The sequence below is a fragment of the Homo sapiens genome, chromosome 14, assembly GCF_000001405.40.
Source record: "Homo sapiens chromosome 14, GRCh38.p14 Primary Assembly".
NCBI lineage: Eukaryota > Metazoa > Chordata > Mammalia > Primates > Hominidae > Homo > Homo sapiens.
The window spans coordinates 24304849-24318091 of record NC_000014.9 but is presented as its reverse complement, the minus strand read 5'-3'; the positions used below and the strand labels follow the sequence as shown (position 1 = coordinate 24318091).

The following is a 13243-nucleotide window of genomic DNA, read 5'->3' as shown; positions in this document are numbered from 1 at the left end:
CTCAAAACAAAAATTTGCCCTTTCCTGCCCCCTACTCAAAAATACCGGAAGAATCTCCAGGGAAATGTCATTTGAACTTTATTAATTCGACAAACACTAAATAAGTACCTATTATGTGCTCACCATACAGAATGGGCGAGAGGACTGGGAAATACTCCGTTAGGTCCCTCCCAGTTTCAGCTGCTGTTCTCAAATTGGTGCACCATACCTTCCAGTAAGGATCTGTAGACAGCTTGGGGATCTCCTCTTCTTAGGTCCATCCAACATCCCTTTGCTTCCTTCTGCATCCTTCTGCACAGATGCTGGTATATGGGTCTTGAGATATTGATGACTCATTCTCACTGGCTCATACTTTGGGGTCCATGGGAGTATGTCAAACCTTGACATACTAGATTTGTTGCGGATGTTGCATGTGGATATTTGGTTTCCCTCTCTTACTTGCTCTTTTGTTTTTTTATGAGAAAGATCCAAAAAGTACACTGCTGCCACTGTTGTTGCCATCTTCCTAAAACCTTGTCAGAACAGAGTTGGACCAAGGTTCTCTAAAACAACAGTCATCTCTAGGAAATAATGACTCATCCCTCTCACTTTTGGGAATCTTTGTTTCCTGGGGCCCTCAGCCCCACCCTGTGCCAGGGTGTGTTGTGGAGGTTAGCAGATGCTGATATGCAAAATTCTAAGGGATAAGATCTAATGACTTAGTCCTCAAGTCTGGCCTCTTTGTGAAATGGAGGGAAGGAAGGCATCCCCTAGAACATCTCCTATGGAGAGGACAAAGATTATTGGCAGGAAGTTGGAGTCATTCTAACAAGGAGACTTATCACAGGCTTCAAGGAAGATATTTCACAGCAGTGCTGTTTTCTCAGAAGGTCCCGGGTCACAGAACCTGGAGTGATAAGCCCACATGGGTGGTCTTCCTAGACAAGCTGCTTTAGGAGTCTGTAGACTGCGTTTTGCTAAGTATTATCTGCAGACTATGTACTCGGAATCATCTGGGATGGGGGAAGTCTATGTTTCTTTGTGTCCCTTCCAAAATTGTAAATCATGGGGAACTAAAGGACGTGACTCTCAACTACCGAGAGGGGCCCCACCAGGGCGCCCACGAGCACCCCGATACCCACAGCACATGTACCCCACTCACAAGGTTGACCAAATTTCAGACTTCAGTTTTAATGGTTAAAGCTGCCTGTGGGAGCCAGGCTGGAGCACGCTCTCACTCGGCCCTCACTTTGCTCCACCTCTCCCTCTTCTTCCACTCCACTCCCGCCTCCCACGCTCCCACGCCCTCCACGCCCTCCACGCCCCTGCTCCTCCTCCAGGTACTGAACTGGCTCAGAGCTAGCATTCTGCCAGGAGGAAAGTGCGCCTCCTTCCACCAGGCCTAGTTCAGTTCGTTTAACTTGAGAGGGCTGGAGGCAGTGAGGCTCTCGGAAGGGCCGGGCTCCAGAGCGGCGGGGCCGCTCCTAGCGGTCTGGCCCAGGCTGCCCCCGCGGCGCGTGCTGGACGCCTCGGAGCCCGTGCCCTCCAGCAGCTTGGCGACGAAGCCCACGCCCGCCGAGCGCAGCAGGCCGCCGCCGGCGCACGCGTACAGCACGGGGTTCACGCTGCTGCTCAGGAAGGCGAGTGCGATGAGCACGTTGCGGGCCAGGCTCAGCCGCTTCCCCACGAGCCCTAACCCGGCGGCCTGGCCGGCCAGCGCGCGGCCCGCCTCAGCCAGGTTCACCACGTGGTAGGGCAGCCAGAAGGCGGCGAAGGTCAGGATGATGAGCACCACCAGGCGGCCGGTGCGGCGGCTGCGGCGGAAGCGCCGGGCCTGTAGCCGACGCCCTATGTCCGAGTAGCTGGCCACCACAGCCAGGAAGGGCAGCAGGAAGCCCGTGACAGCCTCGAAGATTAGATGGAAGGCCCGGTGCCCTTCGCTGGGGTACCGCGGGAAGCACAGGCTCATGTTCGTTTTCCAGGGCACTACTGTGCGGTACGCGAGGACGGGTGTGGCCAGCAGAAAGGACAACACCCAGATGCCTGCCAGCACCCGCCGGGCCATCGCCTTGGTGCGTAGCTTCTGGGACACAAAGGGGCGGGCCACCGCCAGTGAGCGGTCTAGACTCATGGCCGTGATAAGCAGGACGCTGGCGTACATGCTGACTCCGCAGACATAGTGACACAGGCGGCAACCAGCCAGTCCAAAACTCCAGGTGCCTTGGGCCAGGAAGTGAAGGAAAAAGGGAGCAGTGAGCAATACGGCCAGGTCGGCCAGGGCCAGGTTCAGCACCATCAGGGCAGTGACAGAGCGCTTCTGCATCCTTTTCAGGATACTCCACACCACAAAGCTGTTGCCGGGAAGCCCCACAGCCAGCGCCACTGACAGCAGGATGATAGCCAGCAGAGAGATGAACTCTACACCTAGTGAGGGGGGTGCTGCAGAAGATGTAGTGTTCATGGCCGTCGGGAGGACCTGGAGAGTGAGGGCGGACACACGCATGAGAGTAGAGGACCAAGGGTTTCCTGACGCCATGGACACACCTAGGCTGAGAACTCTAGTCTATCTCCAGGGTCAGCAGCATCAGAGGTCCCCCTGAAATATACTGCCCCCATCGCTGCAGACTGACAACTTAAAGGGATCTGGTTGAGTACAAAGACTAGTTTCCTAACTGGGTCATGCGGCCCCTTCCTGTCCACAGACCCAATTGCAAAATATACAGTGACCACAGCAGCAGCAGCATTTCCAGACCTTTTCAGTCTCCTCCCCTTAGGAGACCCTAAAGCCCAGAACCAAACAGAGTTCCTACCAATGCTGCACCCCTTGAAAGGCCAGTCTTTTTGCCCCCTGCCAGGCCCTCAGCCCCTCAATCCCATTAACTTTCCCAATCACCTGCCTACTGTCCCCAGAGATGCCCAGGGTCAACCAGGAATAACAGGGAGGGGAGGAGTTTAGTGGACAAGTGACAAGGACAAAGCCTCCCAACTTTTTACGCTGGTCAGGCTTTCTTTGGAGATTCCTTTGCACCTTCTTTCATGGCTGCACACTGTCCCACCACCACCACAACCACGGCCGCTCCCAGGAAACTTACTTACAAGCTTTGGCAGGAACTGGTTGGAAGCTGATGCCAATCCCAGGGTCAGGGCAGGGTGGTGTAGCCTATCCCTGGATCTGTCCCACTGCCAAAGGCCTGGCCCCAGGTCTAGGTGCTGTTTGCTAAATCAGCCAGAGAGGAAGTACCACAGAGCAGAGGACAGGGAAGACGCATCTTCCTGAGGGTGGGGCTGAAACCCCTACCCACTCCCTTCACTAGGAGGGGGGATAGTCTGTTTTCCAGGGCAACCCAGAAGGCAGGAGGACTCCTTAGAGGTGGGGCCAGATGAGAAGAGACCAGGAAGGAGCAGTGAGAGAGGAAAGAGGGGTGTGGGGAGTGAGAAGGCTGGGTGTGGCCTCAAGATGCAGGTCTAGACTGGATAATTGAACAAAGTAGTGAATGGTATCATATAGGAGAAGGAGGTATGGTAGCCAGAGAAGGGAAATGGGCTCAGATTGGAGGCTACAATGCTGATATCTTTTTGTTTTGTTTTGCTTTGTTTTAAGATTAATAGGAAGTGTAGGTTGGAGCTGTGACTAGGTCCTGGGTCTGGGTTTGGGTTAGATAACATCATGATTTAAAGAGGGCACATCAGTAAATGCCGAAGGGGGCAGCACTCTGTCCTTGGCTTCAGTTCAAGCTATGATCTAGGTGGTGGGAAGAGGGCCATCTTCCAGCACCCCCTTTCCTCCCCTTACTTAAAGGGACTGGTTCCATTTAGGTCAACCAATTCTCCATTCTCTTTGGTAGAAGCCAAAATCCAAATGGTCTCCTTGGTATCACACAGAATGCCAATTACTTCCCCTTTCCCCAAGCACCTACCTTGTGCTTGCCCATGTGGTTACCCTGCTGAGTCTGGATTTATGATCTGGGCAAGGAGATTGGCACTACCTCTTTCCTATCTTCTCACAGCCTACTATTCAGTTCCACTTTAGACACACAAAGTTGAGGCCGAGCTGGCAGGCTGAGCATGAGGAGCAGGAGTGAGGGAGCAGGAACAGTGATGCCTCATGCCCACCCTGCCAAGAGGGGAAACCAGCAATGCAGAAATGGTCCCCTTACCCGTTTCCTGGACAGAGGAATGTCTCCTTTCCTTGAAGTCTCCTGCAAAAGCTAAAAACTAAAAATTCCTGGCAGGTTGTGGTGGTTCATACCGGTAATCCCAGCACTTTGGGAGGCTGAGGGGAGCAGATCACTTGATGTTAGCAGTTTGAGACCAGCCTGGCCAACATGGTGAAACCCCGTCTCTACTAAAAATACAAAAGATAGCTGGGTGTAGTGGCATGTGCCTGTAGTCTCAGCTACTTGGGAGGCTGAGGCAGGAGAATCATGTGAACCCAGGAAGTGGAGGCTGCAGTGAGCTGAGATCGCACCACTGCACTCCAGCCTGAATGACAGAGCGAGACTCCATCTCAAAAAAAAAAAAAAAAAAAAAAGAAACTAAAAAGTCCTTCCTTCAATCTGACCATGGGCCTTCCTGCTTCCCTTTCAACTCTCACTTCTCAGGAAAGATGCAAAGTATAATGGTGGCCACTGAGGTCCCTTAACCTTTCCAGAGCCCCCACTTGTTCTGCTTGGAGAAAAGCCAGAGCAGAGATGACCTCGCAGCTGTCAGAGGATATGAAAAAAATGGGCAGAAACCGCAGCAAGAACTGAAGTCAGAGTTCAGGAAGGGCTTCCTGACCGCACGGGATGTGAGAGAATGGCAATGTGCAACAAAGGAAGTTAAGGAACCTCTGCCCAGTGCATGAGGACAGAAAGAATCCCGTGAGGCCTGTGTTTGGGGACAGAAACTCCAGGGTCAACCAGAGGCCCCTTCAGACAGAAACTGGGTTGTCCTTGCCTCCTCTCTCAAGCTGTTCCCCACCCGCATCTACCTTGATGGCCTTTCTTCCCCACACCCAGGACCAGGCACTCTAAGCATACTCCCTGCTGTTCTAGTTCACAGGTGCTAGTTCATCCCAGTTTTGGTAGCCCTAGCATGACCCTGGGGACTGGGTTTCTTTTGCTGTTTTGACTTCTGTCTGGGAAGCAGGGAGGTGTGAGCAGTCGCTAAAGTAGAGCCTGGGGTGATGGTCAGGGTAGCCACTTGAGCGGCCAACCATCTCAGTTTGTTGGGAAACCGGCAGGGCTGGGACAAGGAGTTTTCAGTGCTTAAACTGGGAAAGTTCCAGGCCAACTGGGATGAGCTGGTCACCTTAGTGACCACAGATGTGTACTTGTGGATGTCCCCTGAAAAGAATCCCATTCTACATCCCCCAATCAAAGGGGTCAGGATCTAGAACCGTTTTTAGACCTAGATAAGGATTCCAAAAGGTGGGGGCAGAGAAGTATTGGGGAACGGGCTAGGAATAGCTAGCAGCATCTTAGAAGGAGCCCAGACTTGGCAAAGAGAAAAAGAATATGTGGCACTTCTCTGAAAAATTATTCCTGTCCTCTAAATATTCCTGCCATTCCTCATACCCCAATGGCCAACCTCCAAACTTCCCTGACTGAGTGCTTGCTCCTGGCTCCTTTTCACGTCAGGTGGCCTTTGCAGGGAGGATCAGATGGTCAGGGGGCAAGGTAAGTCTCAGACTCCCAGGGCCCCTACACCACTGTCCACTCCTTGTGTGCCTGTCTCATACTCACTGGACCAAATACAAGACAGGCAGGAAAACTTCCTTTTCAAACCCCACAGATTCATTTTCCCCTTCAGAGCCATTTCCTCCTCAGAGGCTTTTATAAGCCTCAGAGAATGGATCCCATTCCTACCCCTCATCCAAGCTCCCATACCTCTCCTTCCATTTTCTCCTTTATTTCCAGAGTGGTTCTATGGGTTGGCCTGTGGAACCAGGGCACCTGGGCTGAGGAGGGCAGGTCAAGATGCCACTGAAGGCTGGCACTGCCCAGCCTGGCTTGACCCAGCAGGGAACTAGGTGGCTTCAGTACAACTCAGGCATGAAGAACCACCAGGGGAAGCACACTTAAGTCATCATCTAATGGCTTCCCAGTGTATTTCACAATAACAGCTATTGGCAACAAGTAAGCAATGCTGGCACATGGGTACATGCCAACTTGCAAGCACACAATAGTCCTTAACAGGGACCATCACCACCCTCATAATCCCTCAGTTTGGAGGAGCCTGGGCCTGCCCCAAGTGTATAGTAATCCTACCCAGCCAGATCCAAACTCTAGTCAAAGAAGGGTCCCCAAATGTCCCAGAACACTGACCTCTGGAGGGTGGGTGGGGGGTGGAAAGGGACAGGGAAGGGCAGCAGGTTGTAGGGTCTGCTGTCAAAGGTCCCATTCCGGACCGTCCTTCTCCATCCCACCCCCCGGGTCTCCATTGCCGCGGCCCTGCCCCACCACTTTCAGCTGAGGGGTAGTTCGGAGCTCCATGGTCCCTTCCCTAGAGCGGCCGCCCCCTCGGGCCTCCCCAGAGCCTTCGAAGAGCCGCGTGAGGAAACGGGGACCTGCCCGGGGCAGCAGATCTCCAGCGGTGAAGACGTAGAGCACCGGGTTGACGCTAGAACTGAAGAAGGCCAAGGCCGTAGTTCCCGCTCGCGCCGCCTGGCCGGCTCCGCCCAGCTTCGCCAAGGCCCCTTCCGGTGGAGCCAGCGCTGCGACCGCCTGCAGAAGGTTGACTGCGTGGTAGGGGGCCCAGAGCAAGCCGAAGGCAAGCACGATGGCGCTCACCAGCCGGCCCACCCGCGCCCCGTGCCGCCCGGAGCCCCAGCGGGCGCCCCGCAGCCGTGCCAGCGTCACGCTGTAGCAGCCGAGCATCAGCCCGAAAGGAAGCACGAAAGCGGTCAGAGTCTCCAGGCTCAGGTGGGCGGCGGCGTGGACCGGCGACGGGTGGCACAGCTGGCATACGCGGTCCCTCCACAGGTGGCGGTAGACGGCGGCCGGGACGGCGAGCAACAGGGCGGCCAGCCAGACCGCCAGCAGCAGGCGGCGGGCCAGGGCCGGGCTGCGCAGCCGAGGCGCCAGGAAGGGGCGGGTGACTGCGAGGCAGCGCTGCAGGCTGAGCAGGCCGGTGAGCAGCACGCTGGCGTACATGCTGAGCGCGCACACGTAGTACACCGCCTTGCAGCCCGCCTGGCCCAGCGGCCAGGCCTGCCGGGTCAGGAAGGCCACAAAGAGCGGCGTGAGCAGCAGCACCGCGCCGTCGGCCAGCGCCAGGTGCAGCACAAGCGTGGCCGCCAGCGGTCGCCCCCGTGCAGGCCGCCAGCCCGCCAAGCTCCACACCACGAAGCCGTTGCCAGGCAGCCCCAGCAGCGCCGCCAGCAGCAGGAAGGCTGTGCCTGTGGCCCGCGAAGTCTTCCAGCTCAGCAGTGTCTCGTTCCCTGGGGGACGGTAGCAGACCGACATCCTTCTGGGCCTACAGGTGGGTGGAAGGCGCCACAGAGGGCGTTCAGGGGTGGGGCAAAACCCCACCTGTGATGCCCGATGAGAAGGTGCCATGCCTCCTCCTTACTTCCCTGCAGCCTGCCTCTTTTCTGCCTGGGAGTCCTGACTTCCACGAGGACCCAGACCCCACCTCAAACACAACTCCTTCTTGGAACCCAGATCCCCTGCTCCCAGTCAGTTGACCTGCCCCACTCCTGGCCTCCTTCCCAGAGCTCAGTGGTAAACAGGCATAAAGTCATCACCCCAGGCTGTCACTATCTCTACCACCACTCCTCTAGTCTGGCCCCTCCTTCTTTGTCCAGCCCCATTCTAGCACATCTGGGCAAAACTGGATGGTGGGGTGTAAAGGGACGTGCACAGATCTACTTACCAAGCTGGGAGCAAGCAGGATTGGGGGCCTGGAGAAGCTGAAAGGTTAAGCAGCAGTAGGCGAGGTGCCTACTCCTGTCCTGTGCCTATCACATTTGCAGAGGGTAAGACAAGAATGGGGAGGGACAAGATGAGGCTCATCCTGGGCCTCTCCTGGGGCCCCTCCCTCACCCTGCTCCTTCCCATCACCAACGCACCCAGGCGTCCAGGCATGTGAGAGCCTGCCTTGCCAGGAAACAGCACAAGCTGAAGTGGGGCAGTAAGATTCCCTGGTGGTGGAAGGAAATAGGAGGACTCTGCTGAATCCTGGTCCTGCTTCTGTTCTCATCCCTCCCCCAGCTCTGGCCCCAATCCTCCCAGCCCACCTTCTGCAGTGTGTATGTTGCCTGGTCTCTCTGGCCTGCAGAGGTGACCCAAACAACTCAGTCCCCCACCTGCCTTATCCTTGCCTGTTTCCAGTCTCCTGGTCCGGCTGAGCCCCTGGCCTCCTACCTCCTCCCACCTCTTGCCTCAGGCCCTGCCCCAGTCACTCCACCCTCAGGGCTCTCACCGGGCTGTCAATGACAGCTTTTCCATGTAAGGCATGGTGCTAGGTTCCAGGAGGAACAGGGGATGCATGGAGGCATAATGGTTAGGGAGTCATGACACACAACCATGAAGAGGCCCCATTACCAGGCTGCACCAGGATACAAGACAAGAAAGGAAAGGATGAGTAGGGACATACTAAGAAGCAGCCCTCTCCTCTTGGAAAAGTCAAGCAAAACTTGGAAATGAAGAGATTTGAGGGGGGCCTGGCAGATGGATAGAGCTGGGGGAAGGGAAAAGAAAGGCCTCTGCTCAAGTAACAGCCAGAACTTGAGGTTGCTTGGGGAGGGCACCAGGAGCACTGTCTTAGTTTGGGTTCTTCCAAAGCAGAGCTTGAGCTAAGGGCTTGGGTACAGGTGATCCTGTATTCTTGAGCTAAGGGCTTGGGTACAGGTGATCCTGTATTTGGGAGGTTAACTCAGGAAGTGAGGGCATAAGGTAAAACAAGAGAGAGGAAAGCCATTAAGAGTATGTTAAGTCCCTTCAGTAGGCCTTGGGAACCTCTGAGAAAAGTATAGATTGCCCAAGACAAAAGACTGGCAGGGTGATCAGTCCAAAGCATTTATTAGGAGAATGTACTTAATGAGTGGGCTACAGCGTATCCTCACAACAGACAGTGAGAGAGAGTTGTTCTACCTGGGTATATCCAAAACAAGGGGGTCAGGGTATGGAGTTTACGAGGGTTCAAGGTATTTGGTTCAGGGCCAGGGCCAGTTTTTTTCAGTGTTTTGGGCAACAACCTGAATACCTTTTCAAGGCTCTGGCTTGGGCTCAAGCCTGCAGGGGAAATGCAACTGGCCAGGTCACAGGGCAATCAAGTTACTCTGTGTTTCTTTGTCAGGACACAGAAAAAAAGTGGGGAAGCTGGGGGACCCTACAAGGATCCTTGGCAGGAAAGCAGGGATTGTGTTCATTTGAGGGTTTCACTGTCAGTGAGAGTCTCAGCTTCCATGCAACTGTCCATCACGGCTGCAACTGAAATCAGAGCTGGGACACAGCGCACCAGAAGCTAAAGTCTTGATGCCATCAAAGGACATCCCTGCCCCATTCACATCTCTGTCACGTCCACTAATCGGCAAAAGGAGAAAAGTGAGAGAAGATGACCTAAGTGTGACTGCAGCAGGCAGCTCTGGAAAATGAAGCCAGAGCAGTGAGCCAGCCCCTCCTCCGACCAAGGAGGAAGGAAAGAGCAGGTAAGCAGGAAGGCCAGTGTCCCAGACAGGACCCTAATGATCCTGAATCCATGTATCAGGATCCATCCTCTCCTTACACCCTTCCTGGACACAGTCTCACCTCTCATTTTCCAAAGCCCTGCCATGCTGCCATCCCACTTCCCCACACTCTGCCCCGGGTTCCCTTTTCCTAAAGCTGCAGCTTATGGCTTCTCCAGTAGGTGGCAGCACACACAGAGCCACTCATAAACTGCAGCTTCTCAGAGCCTGAGAGCCAGAAACCGTCCCCAGAAATTCCCTCCATAGAAATAAAAAAACACCAGAAGTCACATTTCATCCTTTTACATGGTTCCCATCTACCCTCACAACACATGTCATCACCAAAGACACACATACAAGCTCCAATGGCTTTTGCCAGGCAATTCTTCCTCCAGGACCCCATCTGGCCCCTCCCTCATCCCTCCCCTTGGACTTTGCCCTTCTTACTGGCCAGGCAGGGGGGCCAGAGTCCAGGCTTGACTCATTCCCACCTTGTCCTGGGCTGAGATCCCAGGTTTGTAACAGAAAACACCACTAAAGCCCCAGCACAGGAGAGAACCACCCAGCCCAGAAGTTCCAGGGAAGGAACTCTCCGGTCCACCATGGAGTACCTCTCAGCTCTGAACCCCAGTGACTTACTCAGGTGACTGCTAACCCTCCGCTCTACCCTCCACCTTTAGGGGATATAGGCAGGGCAACAATACTCCACTCAGCCCCTAGGAGACTAACCAGTACCCCTTCCTCTCCTGCTCCCCACTCCACAGTGGGCTTGTCAAGCTCCTGAGCCACCCGCCCCCACCTGCACTCCATGGTCTCTCCCTCATCCCTAATCGATAAACCTAGATCTCTCCCTCCCTAGCCCTCTAGCCACTCTACCCTCATCATGCCCTTTACACTCACCAAGCCCCTCCTCGCCCCTTCTTGACTTTTCTTCTCAACTACCAGGTCAGTATCTAATATAAGCTCGGAGTTTGGACGGAGGGTCTGGACCTCAGCTCCACCACCCCAGCGACCTTTCCGTGTCTGTGATCACAAGCGGACCATCCGGAAAGGCCTGACAGCTGCCACCCGCCAGGAGCTGCTAGCCAAAGTAAGTAGGCCAAGTTCCTCGGTTCCTATAGCAGGGGTAGCCAAGGGGCTCCACAACAGTGGCAACTTGTGATGATGGAGCAGAGGGCTGAAGTCACACAGCTGCCCCTCCCTCTGAGGGCTAAAAGCAGCGGAGTGGGCCTAATGAGCTCTGGTCAATTTGTTCATTTTCCACCGAGTGAGCTTTTCTATGGGAGCAGGGGTTAGCAGGAGATAGGGAGAGTTCGAGGGACAGAATTCAGAAGCTAGTATGGAAAGGTGATTTGTGTGACAAATCAAGTTCAAATTCTGATTCTGCCACTTCCTGCCTGTCAAACCTTGGGAAGTTGTTCAACCTACCAAAACCTCAGTTTCTTCAACTATAAAAAGGCAATAATAATACATCACCTCCTAGGGTTGTTGAAAGGAGTAAGAGGATAATGTAGGTAAAGTCCTCATACCTGGCACAGAGTAAGGACTCAAAAAGGTTAAACACTATTACTGAAAACACTTCTGGAGAACTCTTGAGGGTGTGGGAAGTGAGGTGCAGCATTGTAGATAAGACAGAAGGGTGGACTTCGTGAGAACCTGGCTTGCTTTCCAATTCCAAACCAGAAGTGACTTGGAGGGGAGCAAGGGGAGATGCCAATGACATGGTAGGAGCAAAGAGGAAAAAGGTCAGCCTCTAGCTAGGATCCCCCAAAAACTGAAGAACACGGAGAGCTGCAACCTTTAGGAGGTATCAAAGTGCCGGAAAGTCAAAGTGGGACATCGACCAATGTCTAGAGCCAACTGATGGATGTTGGGCAGCTAAAGAGGGAAGGGGCATGGGATAAGACCTGCCCTTCTTGCTTCTTGCCATTGGGCAGGCATTGGAGACCCTACTGCTGAATGGAGTGCTAACCCTGGTGCTAGAGGAGGATGGAACTGCAGTGGACAGTGAGGACTTCTTCCAGCTGCTGGAGGATGACACGTGCCTGATGGTGTTGCAGTCTGGTCAGAGCTGGAGCCCTACAAGGGTAAGAGGCCTATACTGGGGCTGCTTCCAATGCCTGTCCTTTAGAGCTTTCCCGGGCTTCCTCTCTAGCTTAACCCTGATCCTGGGGACCAGGTGCAGGAGGAGTTGTGGAATTGTCAAGGATGTCACACAGTGGACAGAAAGTCCAAGCGAGGGAGGGTCTGACCCAGTGCTGATGGAGATTAGTGGTGGGTGTCTGGTATGAGGATCTACTGCACTGACAAGGGTGTCCTACAGAGTGGAGTGCTGTCATATGGCCTGGGACGGGAGAGGCCCAAGCACAGCAAGGACATCGCCCGATTCACCTTTGACGTGTACAAGCAAAACCCTCGAGACCTCTTTGGCAGCCTGAATGTCAAAGCCACATTCTACGGGCTCTACTCTATGAGTTGTGACTTTCAAGGACTTGGCCCAAAGAAAGTACTCAGGTCAGAAATCAACATGTCATACTGCCCCATCCCCTACAGTTGGATAGTCCCCATAATTCGTCCTCTTGCACCCACCTACCCCTAGTTAGCTCTTGCTTGTGGAAAGTCCTCATCTCCCAGCTTGATGGCTTCCTCCCAAGTTTTCCAAATCATCTGATTTCCTCTTGTCTCTGCCATTCAGGGAGCTCCTTCGTTGGACCTCCACACTGCTGCAAGGCCTGGGCCATATGTTGCTGGGAATTTCCTCCACCCTTCGTCATGCAGTGGAGGGGGCTGAGCAGTGGCAGCAGAAGGGCCGCCTCCATTCCTACTAAGGGGCTCTGAGCTTCTGCCCCCAGAATCATTCCAACCGACCCACTGCAAAGACTATGACAGCATCAAATTTCAGGACCTGCAGACAGTACAGGCTAGATAACCCACCCAATTTCCCCACTGTCCTCTGATCCCCTCGTGACAGAACCTTTCAGCATAACGCCTCACATCCCAAGTCTATACCCTTACCTGAAGAATGCTGTTCTTTCCTAGCCACCTTTCTGGCCTCCCACTTGCCCTGAAAGGCCAAGATCAAGATGTCCCCCAGGCATCTTGATCCCAGCCTGACTGCTGCTACATCTAATCCCCTACCAATGCCTCCTGTCCCTAAACTCCCCAGCATACTGATGACAGCCCTCTCTGACTTTACCTTGAGATCTGTCTTCATACCCTTCCCCTCAAACTAACAAAAACATTTCCAATAAAAATATCAAATATTTACCACTAAGACTTCTGACTCCAATTTAAACCAGGAAAGGGATGGGGTGGATACCCCATTTTGCCCTCCCCCATCAACACCCAGTCCCAGATCCAAAGCCTCAGTCTTCAAGTATGGAGTTCAATGCCCGCCTCCGCTTGGCCACCGCACCCTGCTGCTGTTCCCAAGCCTCTCGCCGCTTTAGGAAGGTAGTCAAGGCCACATTTCGAGCCACATGGTGGCCGAAAGGGTCTCTTATCAGCTCCTGGTTCTGCTCCCCTGCAAAGGGAACCACTCATGTTTAGTACTACCATGCTCAAAGACAGACTCTACTTGACGTAAAGATCCCTCCATTTCCCCCAGACCCT

At 54.2% G+C, this 13243-nt stretch overlaps 4 protein-coding genes across 21 annotated transcripts in view, besides 3 other annotated features; 1 reads left to right on the top strand and 3 right to left on the bottom strand.

The window, feature by feature from the left end:
• Positions 1-55: 55 nt before the first annotated feature.
• On the bottom strand, positions 56-6590 carry LTB4R (leukotriene B4 receptor). 2 transcript variants are annotated; one of them, NM_001143919.3, is made up of 2 exons: positions 6288-6590; positions 56-2455 (listed from the first exon to the last, which is right to left on the bottom strand). In NM_001143919.3, exon 2 carries the CDS (start codon positions 2438-2440, stop codon positions 1382-1384), a length of 1059 nt encoding a protein of 352 aa, NP_001137391.1. In that variant the 5' UTR covers positions 2441-2455; positions 6288-6590; the 3' UTR covers positions 56-1381. The 2 variants fall into 2 exon arrangements, with proteins under 2 accessions (NP_001137391.1, NP_858043.1); NM_181657.3 differs by lacking the exon at positions 6288-6590 and adding an exon at positions 3072-4985.
• Positions 1512-2012: an enhancer, noted in NCBI's record as "H3K4me1 hESC enhancer chr14:24785286-24785786 (GRCh37/hg19 assembly coordinates)". NCBI's record gives its function as "activates a minimal SCP1, AML or CMV promoter by ChIP-STARR-seq in naive H9 embryonic stem cells {active_cell/tissue: H9 hESC(naive)}" and the evidence as "EXISTENCE:reporter gene assay evidence [ECO:0000049][PMID:30033119]".
• LTB4R2 (leukotriene B4 receptor 2) lies at positions 6054-7952 on the bottom strand. Of its 2 annotated transcripts, none has more exons than NM_001164692.3 (2): positions 7837-7952; positions 6054-7493 (listed from the first exon to the last, which is right to left on the bottom strand). In NM_001164692.3, exon 2 carries the CDS (start codon positions 7425-7427, stop codon positions 6351-6353), a length of 1077 nt encoding a protein of 358 aa, NP_001158164.1. In that variant the 5' UTR covers positions 7428-7493; positions 7837-7952; the 3' UTR covers positions 6054-6350. The 2 variants fall into 2 exon arrangements, with proteins under 2 accessions (NP_001158164.1, NP_062813.2); NM_019839.5 differs by having other exon boundaries at positions 6054-7437.
• CIDEB (cell death inducing DFFA like effector b) lies at positions 6657-12905 on the top strand. Of its 9 annotated transcripts, none has more exons than NM_001393337.1 (8): positions 6657-7443; positions 7544-7639; positions 9262-9613; positions 10172-10274; positions 10577-10721; positions 11569-11718; positions 11955-12145; positions 12327-12905. In NM_001393337.1, the coding sequence occupies exons 4-8, from the start codon at positions 10234-10236 to the stop codon at positions 12457-12459; spliced, it is 660 nt and encodes a 219-aa protein (NP_001380266.1). In that variant the 5' UTR covers positions 6657-7443; positions 7544-7639; positions 9262-9613; positions 10172-10233; the 3' UTR covers positions 12460-12905. The 9 variants fall into 9 exon arrangements, with proteins under 9 accessions (NP_001380266.1, NP_001305736.1, NP_001380267.1 ...); NM_001318807.3 differs by having other exon boundaries at positions 7544-7685; NM_001393338.1 differs by having other exon boundaries at positions 7544-7685; positions 10139-10274.
• Positions 6677-6806: a silencer, noted in NCBI's record as "silent region_5636". NCBI's record gives its function as "represses an Ori minimal core promoter by ATAC-STARR-seq in GM12878 lymphoblastoid cells {active_cell/tissue: GM12878}" and the evidence as "EXISTENCE:reporter gene assay evidence [ECO:0000049][PMID:35858748]".
• Positions 7007-7106: a silencer, noted in NCBI's record as "silent region_5635". NCBI's record gives its function as "represses an Ori minimal core promoter by ATAC-STARR-seq in GM12878 lymphoblastoid cells {active_cell/tissue: GM12878}" and the evidence as "EXISTENCE:reporter gene assay evidence [ECO:0000049][PMID:35858748]".
• NOP9 (NOP9 nucleolar protein) overlaps positions 8968-13243 on the bottom strand; it is a 37922-nt gene continuing 33646 nt past the window's right edge. For all 8 annotated transcript variants that reach the window (XM_047431054.1, XM_047431053.1, XM_047431052.1 and 5 more), the window contains one exon: positions 8968-13154. In XM_047431054.1, the coding sequence (XP_047287010.1) occupies positions 12997-13154 (158 nt within the window). In that variant the 3' untranslated portion in view covers positions 8968-12996. The remainder of the gene's footprint in view (positions 13155-13243) is intronic.

What these genes read in the sequence shown, in the direction of transcription:
- LTB4R (NM_001143919.3), bottom strand. Translation starts at nt 2,440, where the DNA reads ATGAACACTACATCTTCTGCAGCACCCCCCTCACTAGGTGTAGAGTTC.
- LTB4R2 (NM_001164692.3), bottom strand. Translation starts at nt 7,427, where the DNA reads ATGTCGGTCTGCTACCGTCCCCCAGGGAACGAGACACTGCTGAGCTGG.
- CIDEB (NM_001393336.1), top strand. Translation starts at nt 10,234, where the DNA reads ATGGAGTACCTCTCAGCTCTGAACCCCAGTGACTTACTCAG. An exon ending in GCCAGGAGCTGCTAGCCAAA is followed by an intron (nt 10,722 to 11,568) that starts GTAAGTAGGCCA and finishes GCCATTGGGCAG; the next exon opens with GCATTGGAGACCCTACTGCT. An exon ending in GGCCCAAAGAAAGTACTCAG is followed by an intron (nt 12,146 to 12,326) that starts GTCAGAAATCAA and finishes TCTGCCATTCAG; the next exon opens with GGAGCTCCTTCGTTGGACCT.